At 45.9% G+C, this 22,400-nt stretch overlaps 1 long non-coding RNA gene across 3 annotated transcripts in view; it reads right to left on the reverse strand.

Annotated features, from left to right (window-relative positions):
• LOC105370187 (uncharacterized) overlaps positions 1-19,811 on the reverse strand; it is a 55,982-nt gene extending 36,171 nt beyond the window's left edge. The window contains exons 1-5 of one of the 3 annotated variants that reach the window (XR_941932.3): positions 19,434-19,811; positions 13,041-13,202; positions 12,739-12,953; positions 11,031-11,178; positions 7,401-7,704 (exon numbers count right to left, since the gene is read on the reverse strand). This is a non-coding gene — a long non-coding RNA (uncharacterized LOC105370187). Of the gene's footprint in view, positions 1-7,400; positions 7,705-11,030; positions 11,179-12,738; positions 12,954-13,040; positions 13,203-19,433 lie in introns of those variants that run through there. The other 2 variants (XR_941931.3, XR_941934.4) reach the window with 2 other exon arrangements.
• Between the last annotated feature and the right edge of the window lie 2,589 nt (positions 19,812-22,400).

Below are 22,400 nucleotides of genomic sequence, written 5' to 3' on the forward strand. Positions count from 1 at the left end.
GCTCATGCGGCACACCTTGGCTGAGTCCGACATGGAACAAGATATGGGCGGTCATCTTTCAGATACCCTCTGTAGCGGGGACCATCCCAGGGGAGGAACAAACCATGCAAGACTCGTCTCCAACAGCGACACCGTGTGGCAGCTACGCCAGCTGCAGGCGTGGGCCGCTCAGGCTCGTATCTGGCTCAGCCGGAAGAGGCAGGACTGAGTCCCTTTGGCTCAATAAGGCCCTGGGATCATAAGCCCTGTGCCCCAAGCTTGGGCAGCCGCTCGTGCCAGTTACATTCATTTTCATCTCTCTCACAATTGCTCTGTGTGTAAGCTCTATGTGTAGCTGTATTGATTTATGGGTTGCTTGTGTCTCTGAATTTCTGGCCTCTTGGTAAAAGTCAGGACTACCCTTAATAGGCCCTGTTTTGGGGCCGGGTGCGGTGGCTCACGCCTATAATCCCAGCACTTTGGGAGGCTGAAGCGGGCGGATCATGAGGTCAGGAGATCGAGACCATCCTGGCTAACACGGTAGAACCCCGCCTCTACAAAAAATTAGCCGGGCGTGGTGACGGGAGTAGTCCCAGAGAATGGCGTGAACCCAGGAGGCGGAGCTTGCAGTGAGCCGAGATCGCATCACTGCCCTCCAGCCTGGGCAACAGAGTGAGACTTCGTCTCAAAAAAATAAATAAATCATAAATAAAAAATAAATTAAATAAACCCTGTTTTTTGAGAGGATCTTATAGAAGTCCCTCAGAGTAGCAACAGTATACACACTGCTGGAAAAGTACCGTTCCTTCCTGATATGGTTTGGCTGTGTCCCCACCCAAATTTCATCTTGAATTCCCATGTGTTGCGGGAGGGACCCGGTGGGAGGTAACTGAATCATGGGGGAGGGTCTTTCCCATGCTGTTCTCGTGATCGTGAATAAGTCTTACAAGATCTGATGGTTTTGAAAAACGGGAGTCTCCCTGCACAAGCTCTCTCTTTGCCTGCCACCATCCACGTAAGGTGTGTCTTGCTCCTTCTTGCCTTCCACCATGATTGTGAGGTTTCCCCAGCCACGTGGAACTGTGGATTCTCCATTAAACCTCTTTCCTTTGTAAACTGCCCAGTCTCCGGCATGTCTTTATCAGCAGCATGAAAACGGACTAATACACCCCACTGACTGGGTAAAAAAAGGACTCAGTGTTTCCAGGGCTCAACTGGCTGCTGGAATGCTATCAGACCCCTCCTCTTCGGTCCATAAGCACCCACCCCACTCGAGGTGGTAAGAAACTGTAACCCCTAACTCTGCTCTTTGCGCAGGGATCTCCCCTTTCTTTCCCCTGGGTCTCAGGAGGTCAGCAGTGCCAATGCAGCTTTCTCCTGTCTTCCTCAAATGCTGTGAGTGTGAACTTCCTGCACAGAGAACAGCTGCAGTGGGGTCCACCCTGGGACAGTGCTGCTCAATCAGGTATCAGTCAAGTGAGCATAAAGACTAATGTCACATACCTCTCTTCCCTACAGCAGAAGAAAGTGCCTGAAAAAGAGACCGAGTGGGCTGGACTAACCTTTAGTATTTAAGTACCGTTTTCTCACATGTCTTAGTCACGTAGGGAAGCCACTAAAAGGTGAATTGTAAGTGGGGAGAAGAAAATGGATCTGTGGAAATTAAACGGAAACTTATTTGAAATATGATGGAGGTGACACTCTGCAATTTGCCTCCCAGCCCAGGTCACAGACTTTCCATCCATCTCAGTGTGTCTCACTCTTCACTCAAAGCACCTGTTGATGCCAGGTGTGCTGGCTATCTCAGAAGACCATGAATGAATATAGGATTCTTCAGACGTCCCTATTTTGTTAGGGAGTATAATCCCAGGGAGCAGGGCCAAGGGAGAAAGGGAAGGAAGCAGAGAAGGAAAGAGAACCAACTCAGGAGGGCCAGTTACTGAGCTGCCTGCCACCAGGTGCCAATGATGGCTACATCTGTGGGCACTCATTCAAAATATATTTAACACTCATTAAACCCCAGGTGCTTCTCACAGAGAAATCATGTGAATGGCATCTAAAGTCTGTCCATGGGAATGCAGGGAAGGGAAGAATTGACCATCATCTCTTGCCTTCACTGGGCAAAGATTCACCCCAGAGGGCATTAACTCCCCAACACTTCCAGCTTGCACATGTATGGGCACCAGGCAGGTCTCTGCCCTGAGCCGGGAGGTGACCAGTGTGCACATAGGCAAGGCACTGTTGTACCTGTGTGATGTCAACTGGAGCCCATGTGCCACAGCAGCTGAGACAAGAGGCAGGTGAGGGCAAGAGGATCTGAAGCACCATCCTGGGAAGCATTAGAAGAACAGGACTATAGCAACTGTTTGCAACTCTGCACTGGGACATCTAGACCTGTGTCTTGGTGGCAGCCAGTATAATGTGAAAAAGCCAGACTCTCCCAGAGACCCAAGTGACACCAAGCACGTACTAAGTCTGAGCAGTAAATGGGACTTCACAGGCCTTTGTGGTCTTCTGAAAATGTTCTACGCTCTGGTTCATAATCCACATCCTCCACCACTTTGGAACCCAGCAGAATCATAATCCAACCCTCTCTCCTCCAGGAAGGCAGTTAGAAAAGAGGTGTCACAAGTCTGCAGTCAGCCCATGTTCAAGTACCAGGTCTGCCACCTACTGGCTTCGTGACCTTCTGCAAGATTCCTAAACTTGCTTGAGCCTCAGTGTCTTCCTCTGTAAAATGGGAAGTTGTGCTATCAAATGACATCATTGAATGTAATGTTTAGCCAGCCCATTGTCCAGCTCCAGCTCCCCATAAATCCTCCACAAATAGAAGTTGTTGTGATTATTATGCCGCCAAACTCTGTGTACCTCCGGGAGCATCAGGTTTCTCAGGGGAAAATTAGGATGGTGTGATACACCGAAAGGATTCTAAACCTTTAAATATATCATCAACTTCTCCCCCCTTGTGGGCAAATAGGAAACTTGGCAACAGGAAAATGGGCTGAAACAGAAATAAAATTGGGTAGTAAAATTAGCATCACATTTTTCCATCTTTGTTCAGGCCCCATCAGGAGTGGGTCAGTTCTGGAAGAAGGGAAATGAATTCATCCTAAAAGAGAATCTGGTATTCTTTGCCCCACTGTCAGACTCAGTGTTTCATCCTCAAGGTGATGCTTGTGAATGACTTCATACTTTTATGAAAATAGTCCCGAGTGCTTAACTTTTCATAAGCAGACATACCCTATTCCTTGACACAAAGAGGATCCATGCTACTTTGCTTTTTGAGTACTTAACAATCAAGGCCGGACACAGTGGCTCACGCCCACAGCAATCCCAGCACTTTGGGAGGCTGATGCAGGTGGATCACTTGAGCCCAGGAGTTCAAGACCAGCCTGGCCAACATAGTGAAACCCTGTCTCTACTAAAAATACAAAAATTAGCCAGGCATGGTGGCTTGCACCTGTAATCTCAGCTACTCAGGAGGCTAAGGCAGGAAAATCTCTTGAACCTGGGAGGCAGAGGTTGCAGTGAGCCGAGATCGTGCCACTGCACTTGAGCCTGAGTGACAGAGTGAGACTCTGTCTAAAAAAAAAAAAAAGAGGAAGAAAAAGAAAGAAAGAAAGAGAGAGAAAAAAGAATCGTAGCTTTTTTTTCTTGCTTTCAGTTAGTTAAGGACCTTATTGCCCCCCCCCCCACCCCCGCCAGGTGTCTACACAGCTCTGAATTTGTGCCAGGCCTCACACTGGGCTTGGGGATAGGGAGCTGAGCCTCTAGGGGAAAATTGCTTAGAAGGGAACACACGTCCCGAGATAGGTGCACATAAAGAGGCAGGCATTTGTTTAACAGACACTCACTGAGCACTTCCTAAGCCCAAGAGCTGTGCTGAAAGTCAAAGACTGAGTGTCAACCGGGCACAGTGGCTCATGCCTCTAATCCCAGCCCTTTGGGAGGCTGAGATGGGAGGATCGCTTGAGCTCAGGAGTTCAAGACCAGCCTGGGCAATATGGTGAAACCCCATCTGATTTTAAAAATAAAATTAAGACAACACAAAGCCTTAGTGCCTGCCCTCTGCAAACTTAGTGTCTAGAGGAAGATACTGACAAATAGATGATTACAATACAACGGGGCTGAGAATGGGAACGGGAGAGCACAGCAACATGCCCTTTCTAGAGATGTAGCTCCAAGAGTCCACACCAAGCTTCAATGCAGCTAAGCCAGCCTACACTCAGTTCCCGGCACACCTCAGTCTTCCAGTCTCTGGTTATTGGTTCAGACCACTCCTTCCACTTAAATGGAATGTTTATATTTTATGTTTATCAAATAAGCATCCATTTTTTAAAGGATTAATGAGCATTCATCTACAAGATCCTTTTCTACCCAAGTCAAAGCCACCAATTCGTATTACCAAAATTTCCCAGGGCCCAGGGCCATGAGGTTTAGAGAGAGGGAGAATTTCCTCTCACCCCATAAAAGGCCTGCTTAGCAAGCTCCTCTTTCCAGTCTCAGAACTTCCCAGAGATGACAATGTGCAAGTCCATACCCTTCGGTGGAAGTGTTCCACCCCATGCCCAGGAGCTGTATCAGGGGAGGCTATACCCATGCAGTGTGGGGGGCGAGGGAATGGGGATGTAGCTCTATCTCCCAAATTACCCAAAGAATGGACAGCTCCTTGCCTTTTCATTTTCAAATGTTTTATTGATACATAACATTCATATAGAAAATTGCACAAATCATAAGGTATAGCTAGATGAATTCTCTCGAAGGAATACCTCCCTCCATAAAACTACCCGGGTCAGCAACTATGTTTACACTTTTGATATGTCTTAAACTCTAGGTTATTCCATCTTAAAGAGTTGAGATTTGCTGAGCCCAGACCAAGTCTGTGTGGTCCCTTCTCCAGCACGAGGCCAAGGTGATGCCAGCCTGCTCTTCCTATGCGCTTGGGGTCTCTGCTCCTCCTTCCAGCAAACAGCGAAGTTGGACCTAATATACACAGCTCCACAAGAACCACAGCAGTGTTTGCAGACAAGCCACAGTGTGAGTCCACAGGCAGAAAGAAGCCGTTTCCCAAAGGAAACATTGGCTGCAAAGATATACCTCTGCCTACCATGAAGACAGTCTTTGAATCCTTAAACAGGGCAGCAATGACTGCTTCCAGCCATAGCCTCTCAATTAAACAGCCCATTCAGGTAGACTTCTCTTAAAAAGGGACAGTTTCCATTAAAAGCATATTCAAGACTTTACCCCTTGCATGACTAGAAACCCTTGAGGGTGCTGAAATGATCTTTTCCCCATCTTTTATCTAATCCCAGAAATGTTTCAAAGAACTACAATTAAATTTCACTTTCCCCCAGAGGCCTCTGAAAGGAGGACGCTTCTCCCTAGCACACGACATAGGACAGGGAGCTTTGCCAGGAGATGGAGGCAGCAGAAGAGACATTTCACTGCGATCCTGGGACCACCTGCCATACCCACAAATACTCTCTTTCCTTCACGATCAGCTAAAGTGCAATTCCTGCTCAGCCTTTCATGCCCACTCCAGGGACCTCATCTGGTATTTGCCAAACACTTTCTCATATACTAAATCTTTTCACTTGCCCTGGTACTTTATGGTTACCTAAGGCTCAGACAAACTCATTAACTCCACAGACTTCCCAAACATCCCCTTGGTGCCAGACACTGAGTTAGGAGCTGAATACATCAGGGACAGCTTACTGATCACCAAATTTTATCTCCCCTTTTAATAAAGTTGTCCCTGGGAGCTGGCTTCCAGACCAGGAACTACATCTCCCATCCTCCTTGCATTAGATGGGGCCACGTGGCCATTTCTCAACAAAGGTAAGTGAGTAAAAGTGATGTGTGTCATTCCTGAGAATAAGTGTTAAGAAGTGTGGCTGCCCTACCCCCTCTTCCCTTATCCACTGGCTGGATACAGAGGACTCCAAAGCAGCAAGGCATGGAAAAGCCACAGAGTAGGAGCCAGAGTCCCCAGATCACCAAGGAAGGGAAAATCACCCACCAACCCAGAATATCTGCATGGGCCTATTATGTGATTGAGAAATGGATTTCCGCTGTGCTAAGCTACTGAAATATGTGGGATTATTTGTTACATCACTAGTATTACTCTGACTTTACAATGAACAAGATATGCTCTCTATCACAGAGATGCTGATGTACAGAACATTTAGTCTTGCATTTTAGAAATCTCTTTCTAGGTCGGGCACGGTGGCTCACACCTGTAATCCCAGCACTTTGGGAGGCTGAGGCAGGCGGATCACCACGTCAGGAGTTTGAGACCAGCCTGGCCAATATGGTGAAACCCCATCTCTACTAAAAATACAAAAAAATTAGCCAGGCATGGTGGCGCACACCTGTAGTCCCAGCTACTTGGGAGGCTGAGGAAGGAGAATCGCTTGAACCTGGGAGGCAGAGGTTGCAGGGAGCTGAGATCGTGCCACTGCACTCCAGCCTGGGCAACAGAGCAAGACTTTGTCCCAAAAAAAAAAAAAAGAAAGAAAGAAATCTCTTTCTAGCAACAAGATGGAGAATAGACTGAAGTGCCTCCTAAGAAGGAAGACACATATAGATATAGATATAGATACACACACACCTATATATGTATATATACCCACCTATATATACATATATCTGTCAGCTATTAATTTTATTTTTTCAAATCCAACATTTATTCTCCCTTCTTATAACATCCTAATTTTTCTTAATCCATGTAGTTTAAGTAGAACTGATTAAGTAGAACCAGTTCTAAAGGTCAATCAGAGCCATCAGAGCTACACTGGGGCCTTTTCTGGAAGAATGAGAGAGAGGCATCCTCTTTCCTCAGTGGTCTACTAAGAGATAGATTGTGGGACTGGTGCCCATGGCAGCCATCTTGCCTCCATCAGTGGAGATTGCTGAAAATGGAATGAAGGAGGAGAGGAGGTGGAGCGGGTTCAAACATCTGGCCTATGATCCATTTTCCTCTCAATCACTAGGGGGATTTGTAGGGAAAGAGGACAAATGACCTGGTCTAATTTATTTGTAAATATGCTGATAACTGACCTCTTGATAAATAGTTTCAAGAAGAAAAGTCCTTATTTATGGAATGTTGTTAGCAAGATTTCCTTGGCCTAGAACTGCTTATGGTAAACAAATGTAGAATCGATGGATAAATGAGGCACATAAAAATTGAAAATGGCACATAAGCTCAGCAACAATCTTGGAAGAAAATGGAGATGTCTCATAATATAAACACTCCTTGCTGTGTAAGATGAACACAAACATTACTTAGAGACCTCATCTTATTGCTCTCAGCCAGAAAGTATGTCTCATACAGGAAAGAAGGACCTGGGGAACCACATGGGATATCTCACAGCTCTCTCTGTATTCAGTTATCTATTGCTGTGTAACAAATTTCTTCAAAATTTAATGGTTTAAACAACATCGTTTTATTCTCTCTTGTATTCTCTATGGGTCAGGAATTTGGACAGGGCACAGCTGGGTCAGATTTTCTTTGCTCCATAGTGTCTGAGGCCTCCCCTGGAAACACTGAGAAACTGGAAGTGACTCAGTGGCTGGGGCTGGAATTGCCGGAAGTCCTGTTCACTCGCATGTCTGGAGATGGGTGCTGCCTGGGAGCTCAGCCCATGCTAAGGATGGCATTCCTCCCCACGTGGCCTCTCCACAGCTTTCTTTGCTTCCCCACAGCATAGTGGCTGGACTCCAAGACTGCAAATCCCAAGAGGAACAGGCAGAAGCCATATCACCTTTTACGACCTAGACCCGAATGTCATCTAGTGCCACTTCTGTTGTGTTCACATGCCCACCCAGGTGCAATCGAAGGCAACATGGACCTCACCTCTTGAGGGAAAGGTGACAGTGTCACACAATGAGAAGGGCACATGGGATGGGAGAGCTTGCTGGGGCCATCATGGAAAGTGCAGTCTGCCTCATGCTGGTTTCCCCTGTGCCGTCAGATTGCTTATATATTTGAAATTACTAGCAAAGGTGAGATCTCCAATTTGACAGAGGAGTTCAGAGTCAAGAGATAATGAACAAGAAAACGACTTAATGGGCCGGGTACGGTGACTTATGCCTGTAATTCCAGCACCTTGGGAGGCCGAGGCAGATGAATCACTTGAGACTGGGAGTTCAAGACCAGCCTGGCCAACATGGCGAAACCCCATCTCTATTAAAAAGTACAAAAAATTAGTCGAGCGTGGTGGTGCACACCTGTAACCCCAGCTACTTGGGAGGCTGAGGCAGGTGGATTGCCTGAGCCTGGGAGGTGGAAGCTGCAGTGAGCCAAGATCGCACCACTGTACTCCAGTCATGGTGACAGAGTAAGACTCTGTCTCAAAAACAAACAAACAGACAAACAAACAAAAAAGAAAGATAGTTAATAACCATGTCTGTGCTATATATCTGACTGTGCCTGAAGTCAAAATAATCCTAGCGCTGCCCAACTGCATGAGCCAATACATCCTCCTTTTTATGTAAGCCTGTTTGAGTTTTCTTTCCCTTGTAATCAAAATATTTAAGAATAACATAGTGTGTATATATTATTTACCACCCTATAAGGTGGTACTTTAAACTGTTTTTTGTTTGTTTATGAGATGGAGTCTCACTCTGCTGCCCAGGCTGGAGTGCCATGTGGCACAACTTGGGCTCACTGCAACCTCTGCCTCCTGGGTTCAAACAATTCTCCTGCCTCAGCCTCCCGAGCAGCTGGGATTACAGGCAGGTACCACCACACCCAGGTGATTTTTGTATTTTTAGTAGAGAAGGGGTTTCACCATGTTGGCCAGACTGGTCTCAAACATCTGACCTCGGGTGTTCCACCCACCTTGGCCTCCCAAAATGCTGGGATTACAGGCATGAGCCACCGTGCCTGGCCACTTTAAGCTGCTTATAAAAATATATACATACTGGGCTGGGTATGGTGGTTCATACCTGGAGGCCAATAGTTCAAGACCAGCCTGTACCACATGGCAAGACTCCACCTCTACAAAAGAAATTTTTAATTAGCTAGGTGTGGTGGCTCATGCCCTGTCATCCCAGCACTTTGGGAGGCTGAGGCAGGAGGACTGCTTGAGGCCAGTAGTTCAAGATCAGCCTGGCAACATAGTGAGACCCTGTCTCTTCAAAAAGTAAAAATAGAAATACAGATTTGGTCAGCAATAATACTTTTAAAAGCTGACTATAGACAAGACATTCTGCTAAGTGCTGAAGATAAATGGATCAACACAATAGGCAAGATTTCTGACCTCATGGAGCTTCCTTCCAGCAAGAATCATTGTCATCGGATAAGTGACAGTTGAGGCCATGAGTGTGCATGAGGCCAACCAGGAATGTAGTCTTGGGTAAGTTGCAGACCATATTTCAGGGCTAAGCTGAGGCAAGGATCCCTCAAAGGAGATTGAGAAGTAATGGCCAGAGAGGGGAGATTAAAACCATAAGGAATGTCCTAAAAGCCACCCAGGAGAGAGTATGTAGACTATATATGAAAGTGTTTAGGCCAGGCACGGTGGCTCACACCTGTAATCCCAGCACTTTGGGAGGCCAAGGTGGGTGGATCATGAGATCAAGAGATTGAGACCATCCTGGCCAAAATGGTGAAACCCCATCTCTACTAAAAATACAAAAATTAGCTGGGCGTGGTGGAGGGCACCTGCAGTCCCAGCTACTCGGGAGGCTGAGGAGGGAGAATCGCTTGAACCCGGGAGGTGGAGGTTGCAGTGAGCCGAGATCGCGCCACTGCACTCCAGCCTGGCAACAGAGTGAGACTCCATCTCAAAAAAAAAAAAAAAGGTTTTAGTAAGGTATTATGCAATAATACCTTCAATAATTATTATTTTTTGCTCTCATCTCTACCTTTTTAAAATCATTTTTTAGGTATTTGCCTTACCTGAGTTTCTTGAGGATGGGGACATTTTCCACCTTGGTGCCCTTGAATGACCTGGTGAGTGTCTTCCATGCTAAGTCAGTGTTTGTGGAAGTATCATGTCTATTCATTATTGTGAGTGAGAGAAAGAGAGAGAGAGAGAGAGAGTGTGTGTGTGTGTGTGTGTGTGTGTGTGTGTGTGTGTGTGTGTGTGTTAGATAATCAAGCTACTTGAGGGCAGGGGCTGGAGAGAGGCTTTGGTTTGAGTTCTTTATCATCAGATGCCCTAGCAATTCAGTCACTCAATCAATATGTGTTGAAGTTATTTATCCTCTGTTCCAGTAGCTAAGCCTTCATGTATGATCTCTGAGCTCAGATGTGCCGCCTGTAGGGAAACGCTTTGTTTACTGCTCTCTAATCCCTGTTGTTCCTTTGCACAGGGTGTTCTCACAGGACTATTTTCGTTTCATTGTTAGAATCAAGGTTTCCAAGACTAATAAGCAGAGCACTTGACCTAAACAAACCAGTTCAGCTGAGATATGAATAGGCAGCCATAGCTGCACAGAAATCATGACCAGAAAGGACCTAAGGGGCATCTAGTGATGGATGAGTCTAGGCCAGCCCCCTTGTTACACAAGTGAGGAATAAGTATACAGAGAATTTCCAAAAATTGTCCAAGGACACAGCTAGTTAATGGCAGAGCTAGAATTGGAATTGAATACACAGACTCCCAGGCCTTTGATCCTTATACCATTCCCAAGGTTTCCTCTTAAACTGAGTTCATCTATAAGCCTCGAGTACTGCACCCTAAGTGATTCTGCAATTCACATATGATGTGATTAATGCTCCAGAGGGACTGCTAATAGTCCAGCTCTCTGGGTGGGCACAGATGAACGAATACATGAATTGCTGATCACACCACTGCATGGTTATTTCCATACTTATATACTAATGTTTCTAATCAACATTCATTATGGCATAATATTTGTAAAGGCCTGAGACTGGAAAGTTCTTCAGACTCAGATCTTATACTCTTTGCAAGACCTTTGTATCACCATCTTTCTTTAAGCAGCTGCCACTTTAGGGCAGCTGGATGAGAAAATACCATCAATCATGCAAAGCAACAGCAGCAGCAGCAACTTTAAAGTGGTCGTCGCTCCTGTCATCTCACCTTAGGTCCTAATCCTTTTGTGACACGATCGTCTTCTCCAGTGGCAACTAATTATGATGTCACAAATAGAGGATTATAACTGTAGTCGAGGAACAAACAGTAGGAGAAGAAAGATCCTGTTTCCATGTCAGTGTTTCTGGAAAATTTGCTTTTAGGGAAAACACAAAATAGAAAATTGACTTTAATTTCACATTTAATAATAAGAAGAATAAGAATATCTAACATGTCTTGAGTCTCTTTCTAAGAGCCAAATACTTTGCTGAGTTCTTTTTCACATACGTGATCCCAGTTAATATCTATAACAGTCCTGCAAAGGAGAAATTAGTCACAATTCACCAAAATGGAAAAGTAGATTTAGAAAGGTTAAGTGAATTCTCCAGAGTTTTTATAGCTAGCAAGTGGCAGAACCAAAATTTCCTACAAGTGAGCTATGGGATGAAATTAGATCTTCAAAATGTGGAATAAGATATGGAAAAATTCCATAGACCCATAGGTTCTTAAACCACAAATGGCAGACAGAAGTTATTGTCCCTTTTATAGATGAAGTTCCTGACACCTGGAGATGTTAAAAAGCTTTCCCAAATTCCCAGAGTTAGTAAGTAGCAGAAGAAAAAAACAACAACAACACCGTTCCTTTTTTTTTTTTCTGAGACCTGGCTTTGTCACCCAGGCTGAAGTGCAGTGGCATGATCTCTGCTCACTGCGACCTCTGCCTCCCAGGCTTAAGCGGTCCTCTCACCTCAGCCTCCCAAGCAGCTGGGACTACAGGCATGCACCACCGCACCCAGCTAATTTTTTTTGTTTTTTTGTAGAAATGGGGTTTGGCTTTGTTGCCCACACTGGTCTTGAACTCCTTAGCTCAAGCAATCTGCCCACCATAGTCTCCCAAAGTGCTGGGATTACAGGTGTAAGCCATGGCACCTGGCCAAAAAACCTTTTCTGTTCATACTCCAGCACACTGCCCTATAAGTAACTTTAATCATTACTGAGCATCTAATATATACTAGGAACTGTTCTGGACACATAAATTATCTCATTGAATTCTTGCAACAATCTTATCAGGCAGTTATCACTATCCTCATTTTATAGATTAGGAAATTGAGGCAAAGAGAAATGGAAAATTTAAATACACCAAAACCCAGGTCTCCCTACCTCTGGTTTGACTTATATCACGTTATGTACTAAACACTGGAAGACTGAATTTCCTTCATCATCAGAAAAATAAGCTTTCACTCACCTACCACGTGCTTCAAATTTCTGCCATTTGATTCATTCCTCCCAAATTATGATATTATATTATTAGAAGAAAATGTCTGCCAGGTGCAGTGGCTCATGCCTGTAATCCCAGCACTTTGGGAGGCCGAGGCTGGCAGATTGCCTGAGGTCAGGAGTTCAAGACCAGCCTAGTTAACGTGGTGAAACCCTGTCTCTACTAAAAATACAAAAATTAGCCAGGCGTGGTAGTGCACGCCTGTAGTCTCAGCTACTTGGGAGGCTGAGGTAGGAGAATTGCTTCAACCCGGGAGGTGGAGGTTGTAGTGAGCCAAGATAGCACCACTGCATTCCAGCCTATGTGACAGAGCAAGACTCTGTCTCAAAAAAAAAAAAAAAAGTCAAACGTCCACCAATATCCATCTTCCCCTCCTCATTACTAAGTCCCCTTGCAGTTTGCAGTGGAATGTAAGGAGAAGCAAAACATGCTACCTACCTCTGGCCTCCACCTCAAGACCATGGGTGTGTCTCCTTTGTGTGCCCTTCCCTGTGGCTGGACATTGACATGAAGGCACCTGAGCTTCAGCTACATGGATGAGAGCAACACCCTCAGAGATGGTGGAAAAGTGAAATGGAAGAAGCCTAAATCCTTGAATGACTCTTTGGAGCAGACCCACCTACCAATCTGGCACATTTACTTCATACTGTTTTCTGAGAAAGAGGAAAAATTCTGTCCTTTTTGAGCCACCAAATTATTGAGCAATAATAAATATCTATTGTTTTAAGCCACTGAGTTACCTTGTCACATAGCAGTAGCAGCTGATGCAGGTAGTATACTGAACATCTTTCACCAGGCCTCTTCATGGTTCTAGCAACAGGAAGTGACTAGCTAAGCAGAAGATAATTTCTTGAAAGACTATTGCATGATCCATAGAATTAAGAGGAAGCCTGCAGACGCAACTTCAGGAAAACAGGCAGGAAGAAGGGAAGTTAGGCAGTTGGACTTATGCCCCAAAATTATTATACCATAGGAACCACTTGGCGATGTCACCCCAGTGGCCACTGCAGGACCCTGGACACTAGACTCCAGAGCTAACAGCAGGAACTGGACGTCATATGTGTCACCATGACCACCATGGCTCCTGGAGTCTGTTGTCACTGCTATCAGAACAAATTTCCCCCCATCCTTGCTTCCTTGCCTCTCTTGTGCCAGAGTCTAAGCCAAGGCCAGAAACTCCGACTGGCCATAGCTAGATTAAGTACCCAAGCTTTGCCTGCTCAGGAAGGGGGTACGTAGCCAGCTTTTTCAGCAATTCTAGTCCCATTACGACTCCTATAGGAGAGATGTTCAGTTGTCAGGCAGCCAAAACATAAAAATAAAAAACTACAAATTGTCCTCCCAGAAGAAAAATGCTTCCAGATCAATATGGTTCTGTGGAAACTCTCAGGTTTTAAAAGCTCTCTGATGGCTGTTGGTTCCTCCAAGCTCTTTATATTCAACTTCCTGGTTTATCTTCATCAGGGGCTCTTTCCATTATGAGTGACAGAAACTTAATTAAAACTATTACGGTATTTTTTTCAAAAAGAAGAGGGCTTACAGGCGCAAACAAGTAAAAAGCACAGGCATGTCTGGGTTCAAGGGCCTGCATGATGTCATCGGGCCCCTTCTCTCCCAGTCTCTGCTCTGTGTCCTCGAAGGCCCTCCATTGTCACTGTGGTCCCCCCGTCACTGTGGCAAGACACAGGGCTGCCTCCTGAGGCATGCGTTCTCTCCTCCTCATGCACCCAGACCAGAGAGAGATCCTCTCCCCAGCAGTTCACAAAAATCTTGGGATGGCATCTCAATGGGATCTAACATGTCATTGCTGAGCCAGCCACCAAGGGCAGGGAGTACAGCAGGTCACATTGCTACACCGAAAGACAGCTCCAGCTGGGCACAGTAGCTCACCCCTGTAATCCCAGCACTTTGGGAGGCCGAGGCGGGTGGATCACAAGGTCAGGAGTTCAAGACCAGCCTGATCAACATGGTGAAACCCCATCTCTATTAAAAATACAAAAATTAGTCGGGCGTGGTGGTACACGCCTGTAATCCCAGCTACTCGGGAGGCTGAGGCAGGAGAATCACTTGAACCTTGGAGGCGGAGGTTGCAGTGGGCTGAGATCTTGCCACTGCACTCCAGCCTGGGTGACAGGGTGAGACTCCGTCTCAAAAAAAAAAAAAAAAAATAGCCAGCTCCACCCAAACCAAAGGGCAGTCAAACCAAAGGGCAGTGAATGCAGGCTTGCATTCACTCAGGAAAAGCAGGCTGCTAATATCAGAGGGAAAAGGGAAAGGAAGCCGGGTAGGCAAAAACAAGAGATGTCTATTACAAGGGTCAATCAGCGGCCTAGCCCAGGGTCCCACGGGTTGCAACAGAGGTTTTAAAATATAAACCAAATAAAGGAGCCCCAAGAAATCAGGGGTCTATCGCCCACCTTCTGTGAAGCTTAGCTTTGCACTAACAATATAGACCTAAGCATTTGTCTGAAAGGATAAAAACACAGTTTGCTGTAGTAGAACAGGGTGTCTCAACCTCGGCACTGTGGACATTTGGGGCTGGCTGATTCTTTGTTGTGGGGGTTGCTGTGTGCGTTGTAGGATGTTTAGTAGCATCCCTGATCTCTGTCTGCCCACTGGATGCCAATACCACTCCCACCTTCAACTGCTGCTGTGAAACCAAAAATGTCTCCAGACATTGGCAAACATCCCCTGCGAGGAGAAATTGCTGCCCCATCCCCCACTGAAAACCACCACGGTAGAAAGCATGAGAGCAGAAAGTTCTAAACATGAGGCTCAGCCGGGTCCCTCTGAAGTCCTGGGGCCTACACAGTTGGAGTCCGGGACAGGAGAACTGGGTTTGTAGAGGCTGGATAACAGAGCCAGAGATCTCCAGGCCTGTTCAAATCCTTGTTTGGGCCTGGCCTCAGTGGCCCCAGGGTCTCTCCTCTAATTCAAGTTTAACGTGATCACAAGTTCTACCACTTACTGAGTGCCTTACAAGGCCTCCCCAGGTGCACTTTCTCACTTAACCATCACATCGACACTCCAGTACAGGTGTTACCTTCATTTCACAAAGGCAGAAACTGAAGCTCTGAGAAATTAACTGCCCCCAAAATCACAGTTAGTAGGCCGGGTGCAGTGGCTCACCCATGTAATCCCAGCACTTTAGGAAGCTGAGGTAGGTGGATCACTTGAGCCCAGGAGTTCGAGACCAGCCTGGCCAACATGGCGAAATCCCATCTCTACTAAAAAATACAAAAAATTAGCCAGGCATGGTGGCACACTCCTGTAACCCCAGCTACTCAGGAGGCTGAGGAGGGTCAGCTGAGCCCAGGAGGTCAAGGCTGCAGTGAGCCGAGATCGCACCACTGCACAATAGCCTGGGCAACCGGAGTGAGACCCTGTCTCAAAAAAAAAAAAAAATTACAGTTAGTAAATGCCCGAACTGGGATTCAAATCGATGTCTTGGTCTCCAGGGTCCTTGCCCAGTTCCAATATACCCTGGGGCCTCTCTGCATTTCCACCTTTGGTGGTATTCCCCATCCAGGCTCCCATGACTGTGGTTTCTGTTCCAGGTTCTCATTTCTTTGAGATTTTATTTTATACTTTCTCTTATTCTTCTCTCTGAACTATGTGGATTATGCTTTAAGAACTTAAATCTCTTTATCTCTCTACAGGTCTAAAATAACAAAGGAACCTAATGACAGTAATGATAACTATTGCTCACCCTCACATGAATGACCATACTTCACTATTTCTCTTGGAGATCTGGGCATTTTAAAGATTTGTTTCATGCATTGATTTAGAATTACAGGATTTAAATTTATCACTTAAGAGGCATCATAGCATGCTGAAGGGGCAAATGCCTGGGACTCAGAGGACCTGGGTTTTCACTCTGGTCCTGCTGCAGACATGCTGTGTGACCTCAAGAAAATGACTTAACATCTCTGGATCTCATTTGTTCAACTATAAAATTGGGAGTCTGGAATTTTTTTTCCTCATAGAGACAGGGTCTCACTCTGTTGCCTACGCTGGAGTGCAGTGGTATGATTGAAGCTCACTGCAGCCTCAAACTCCTGGGCTCAAGTGATCCTCCTGCCTCAGCCTCCTGAGTAGCTGGGACTACTGGCTCATACCACCACACCTGGCTAATTTTTGTATTTTTTGTAGAGAAAAAGTCTCACTATGCTGCTCACACTGGTCTCAAACTCCTGGCCTCAAGCAATCCTCCCACCTTGGCTTCCCAAAGTGCTGGGATTATTGCCTGGAGCCATCACACCTAGCAGCCTGGAATTATCAATCTACAAGAATTCTTCCAGCAATTTGATGAAGGCACTAGTCTAAAGTTAACTCCATAACCATTTAAAAAATCTTTAAAATATTCAGAATAGGTTTAAAATAAGTAGCAAGTGCTGCTTCACCGGGAGGTGGCTGGAGAGAGCTCTCTGAGTAAAATAACAGCTTATAGTTGACTTCAGTTCCATGAGGACAGAGAAGGGGGCAGGGCTGTGTCACCTGAGTCTTGATATAAACATTAATTAAAAATGCATGCCCAGGCAGAAGGAGGACACCCGGTGCATTAGTGATGGCCCTCGGATGTCTACGTTGCAGGATTGACAGGGATCTGGACAGGAGGCAGGAGGTGAAGCATGCCTTGAGGCCCTGCCGAGGAACAGGGTGGACAGAGAGCCGGCTCAGAAGTCTCTCCCCATGGGGTTTAGGGTGTAACCCTGGCACAGAAGGAGCCGACCACTGAGTATTAGGTGAGCATGTTTCATTTAGCAAGAGACGTGGGGACAGACACTGCATCTCTCACACCCCAGAGCACTCACAGGCCAGCCCCCAGCCTTCTGCCTCGAAGCCTGCAGGCCATGACAGAAAACAGCTACACCACAGTCAGAAACGGGAGCCCTGAAGCAGAAAGGCCTGTCCCTCCTGCCAGGAGCCAGTGACCTCTGGAGATAGGAAGGACTTTGTAGCGTGGGCACCCTCCCTCGCTCTCCCTCTCTCTCGCTGATCCCTAGGCCAGCTGCTGTCCAGTCGTTTCTGTTTTGAATCCTCTAATGGATCCTCAAAGCCTAAGAATCGGAAACTTATCTAAGCTTTGTGGTAGAGAAGGTTGGAGAACTCGAGGACAAACCCCTGGGGAATAGCCAGAGAAAGGAGTCTCCCCCTCTTTCTGCCTCCACCATAGGCCATGTCCCTTCCCACCTCCTGCTGCCTGGCCACAAACTCCATGTGGGACTATGGCCCAGTGGATCTGAGAAGCCACCCACTTCCTCCCCCGGCTCCTCAAGTCCTGTGCAAATACAAAGGTCAAGCTAGGTAAGCACAGGTTTCTGTCCTGGTCACAGTAACAGGGAGTCTGTTGCAAGCAATGGAGAGGATTTTGGAATGTCGCATAGCTCCTGGCTGGGCAAGGTGGCTGGGAGTCATCCCGCCTGCAGGTAGACAGAGGGTGTGGAGCTCAGGGATCATGAGTAAGCAGTGGGAAGTGGACATTGGTTTTTGTTTTGGCTTGGGGTGTGGGTTTTTTTTGGTTTTTATTTATTTATTTATTTTTGGGACAGCTCTATTACCCAGGCTGGACTGCAGTGGTGGAATCATAGCAAACTCCTGGGCTCAAGTGATCCTCACACCTCAGCCTCCCAAATAGCTGGGACTACAGGTGTGTGCCAACACGCCCAGCTAATTTTTTAAAGTATTTTGTAGAGGCAGGGGGTCTCACTATATTGCCCAGGCTGATCTCAAACCCCTGGCCTCAAGTGATCCTCCCGTCTTGGCCTTCTAAAGTGCTGGGATTACAGGTGTGAGCCGCTGTGCTCAGCCCAAGAACGGACACCTTGAGAGTGGCTAGACTTAGAGTCTGTATAGCAGAAGCACGTAGGCTGAGAAGACGGATTACAAAAAACATCATAGTAAAATTTCCTCCTCAACACAGATGAGATGCTGTGTTTCCAGTGCCAGATCACTTTAGGATTATCAGGAAGTACAATGGTGAGAACAGTCATATAAAAAGTTTGCAAAAATTCTAAAGTCACAGCTAAAAGAATAGTCAGCAGTGGCTCCTCTGTGCCTTCCAAGCTTTTAGCGATGTGCTAAGAAAGCTTCACTGACTCCTCCAGGCAGAATGAAGCATCCTCCATCCACTCGACCCATACCTCCTCTATTACATCCAGAGAGGGTGTGGCCTTCATCTGCTTTGTTTACCCTTGGACTCTCAGTATTTGGAACAGACTCTGGCACATGGGAGAGACTCAACTATCTGAAGGTTGGATGAATAAATGAATGATGATTTATAATTATTCATCTTCCTACTAAACCATATACCCCTTTAAATAATTATTTTTATATCCACAGCCCCTGTAGCAGTGTCTGGTACACACTACGTGATGATTAAATGTTTTCTGAATGAAGTGAAAGTTTCTGACGCCAACAGCAGGCACTGTTTGCTCTCTGGCTGTCCTGGGAATTGGGCACTTCCACCCCACACCCTCATCCCTCATCTAAGATTTAGATGAATTTCTGAGTTTTTCTCTTGACAAGGAATACATTCACTTCTTTCCCCTCCAAACACATGTGTGCGAATCATTTGTTTTGGCTAAAGATCAAGCCAGGCAAACACCTAGCCCCCTCTAACGTCAGAAAAACAAACATAGGATAAATTGAGGATGCAGCTTCAAGAGGAGAAAATGTCTACCCCTTTTGGCTCATTTGGGGAGTTTATTTTATAAGAAACTGTATTTGTAGGATTATAAATGAGAACGTCCAGACCTCCCAGGCTCTATGTGGGGACGCTAAACCTCCCCCATCAATCCCCTCAGGGTGTGTGGCTCCGGGACAGCACCCCCACCACCATATCTGCATAATAGACATAATTACTATTATCAGGGTGAGTGACAGAAACACTGTCATTAAAGATGTTGCATAATCTTACTTTTTTGTTTTTGCCTATGGTAAATTAAGATAGTTTTGCTCTTGCCTTGAAAGGATTCAGCTGTCCAGCTTCTCCTCCCATCCTCCTTCCTCCCGCCCTCCCAACCCATTTCCCTCCCCCGTTCCCCCAATTCCTCCTCCCTTTTGTTCCTATACCCATTATCCATGGACTGGACTCCCAATATTTTTCTCTGGACTCTAACCAAAAGCCTCACCTTTGTCCTTTCAATGTTGGGTTGAGACGTGTTCCCTGATTGGGTCACCATCCTCTGTTCAGGAGTCTGGGGAGCCATTCCTCCTGACCCCCACCCCCGCGGGCTGTCCAACTGTCTTGTCCTGGAATTACTGCTATGTCCAGGCTTCCGGAACTTCAGAAACGCATTTGTTGCACAGAACTCTCGGCTGTGGCTTGTTGGTGCAGTGGGAACTGAGCTTTATTTAGGTGGTGGTGTTTGAAGTAACTCCAGTGGTAGAGAAGCATGGGGCAAAGGCTAATCTTTGGCTGGAAGTGGATACCAGTTCTGAAAAGCAGGGAGTCTGAGCAGAAAGCCCACATGTTAATAAAAAACTAAAAGCAATTATAAAATTACCATTCGTATCAGTTTCCTAGGGCTGCAATTACTAAAAATTACCGTTAACTGGGTGGCTTAAAACAAGAGTGTACTCTCTCACAGTTATGGAGGCTGGTGCCACACACCATGTGCCACACGCCATGCTCCCTGGGAAACCTCTAGGGGAGGAGCCTTCCTTCCCTCTTAGCTTCCGGTGGCTCCTGGCTATCCTTGGCATTCCTTGGCTTGTAGATTTGTCACTCCAATCTCTGCCTGTGTCTTCACTTGAGCTTCTTTCCTCTGTGTCTGTCTCTGAGTGTCCCCACCTCTTTCAAAAACACCAGTCATTGGATACAGGGCCCACTTTAATCCAATATGATCTCATCTTAATTACATTTGCAAAGACCCTGTTTCCAAATTGGAGTGGACAAGAATTTGGGAGGGACACTGTTCAACCCAGTACACAATTTAAAAGACATAGGAAGAGAAACAAAATTTTAAGGCATTTTCTCTGGGTTTTTGTTTTTTTTTTTTTTCATATTCTCTTGCATAGCTTTCATATATCCTCTAGGGGAGAAGGGAAGCAATAAAAGGATATATTTTAATTTCTTGGTGGTAAAAATAAACTAAACCAATTTAAAAAAAAATAAGAAGCATTGGTTCTCAAGCAGGAGCAATTTTTGCCTCCGAGGAAACACTTGGCAATGTCTGGAGACATTTTTCCTTGTCATGACTAGGTGAGTGTCGCTGGCACCTAGAGATCAGGGATGCTATTAAACATCCTACAACGCACAGGTCAGCCCTTCACACAAAGGATTATCCAGCTCAAAACATCAGTAGTGCCGAGGTTGAGAAGCTCTGATCTGGCATGTAGAAAATCTCTTTAAAACCACGCTTTGATCATATTTCTCTCCTACTCAAATTGCTGCACATTATCTTTGAGAATTCAAGCTCCTTGGCCTTTCAAACCTTCCAGAATTTTCCCCAGGGTTCTCTTTCCAGCCTTGTCTCTCTCTCTCTTTTATTTATTTATTTATTTATTCTATTTATTTATTTTTGAGACAGAGTCTCACTCTGTCTCGCAGGCTGGAGTGCAGTGGCACCATCTCGGCTCACTACAACTTCCACCTCCCGAGTTCAAGGATTCTCTTGCCTCAGCCTCCCGAGCAGCTGGGACTACAGGCGCCTGCCCCCTTAGCTGGCTAATTTTTTGTATTTTTAGTACAGACAGGGTTTCGCCATGTTGGCCAGGCTGGTCTGGAACTCCTGACCTCAGGTGATCCTCCCGCCTTGACCTCCCAAAGTGCTGGGATTACAGGCGTGAGCCACCGCACCAGGCCTCTCTCTCTTTTTTTTTTTACAGCAAGAATTGTTTTTATTATTTTTCTTCAAAATTGCCTTGACTATTTTTGTTTTTTTTTTACTTTTATTTTTAAGTTCAGGGGTACAGGTGCAGGCTTGTTACATGGGTAAACTTTTGTCATGGAGGTTTTCTGTACAGATTATTTCATCACCCAGGTATTAAGCTTAGTATCCATTAGTTATTTTTCCTGATCCTCTCCCTCCTCCCACCCTCCACCCTCCGAAAAACCCCAGTGTGTGTTGTTCCCCTCTACATATCTATGTGTTCTCATCATTTAGCTCCCACTTGTAAGTGAGAACATGCAGTATTTGGTTTTCTGTTCTTGTGTTAGCTTCTAAGGATAATTGCCTCCAGGAGCTCCATCCATGTCCCTGCAAAGGACACAATCTCATTCTTTTTTATGGCTGCATAGTATTCCATGGTGTATATAGACCTCATTTTCTTTATCCATTCTACCATTGATGGGCATTTAGGTTAATTACATGTCTTTGCTACCAGCCTTCTGTCTTACTACTCCCTAACATGAACCTTTCCTGCCCAGCCCCCGGCTTGCACATACACTGCTCAGGCCCCTCACAGATCACTCTGCTTTGAAAATGTTTCCTTCCAGCCTTGCCTCAATCTCAAACCTCACCTGTACTTCAAGGACCAGCCCAAGCTCCACCTCCTTCTAGAAACTGTCTAGGACCAGCCCTCTCCCCTTCTCTCAGTAATCTCCAGCCATGTGGGTCACTGCACTGCCTAGCTAACACAGGAAATTACCTCTTCTTCTACCTCTCTTCTCCTCTTCTACCTCTATTCTCCTGGCTCGTTGTGTGGCTGACCGCTTCTTACTCTTTAGGTTTCAGCTTAAATGTCATCGACGCAGGGAGGCCCTCACTGACCTCCCGTTTACTCACCACGTTCTCTGTCATGGCTCTCTTTGGTTCCATCCTCATACTTGGCCCTGTAGTGTATCCTGTCTATTTAACTCAGCTTCCTTCCCTGCCTTTTTTCTCACACTGAGAAGAGGAATCTTGTCTACCTTGTTCCTCAATATATCCAGCCCCTTCACAATACCGTAAGTCTGATTTCCAATAAGTATTCTATCTGATAAATGAATGAAAAAATGAGTACCTTAACTCATAAGTAGGTGATTTGTTATTGAACTCTCAGGGTACATCTCTCTTATTCTCAAGAGCAGAGCTGCCTGCCTACTAGCACAGAGTTATGCATTGGGTAGGTATCTTGTAATTATGAATAAGTGCCTACCACAAATTTAATATCTA

This window comes from Homo sapiens, chromosome 13 (assembly GCF_000001405.40).
Source record: "Homo sapiens chromosome 13, GRCh38.p14 Primary Assembly".
NCBI classification, from domain to species: Eukaryota; Metazoa; Chordata; class Mammalia; order Primates; family Hominidae; genus Homo; species Homo sapiens.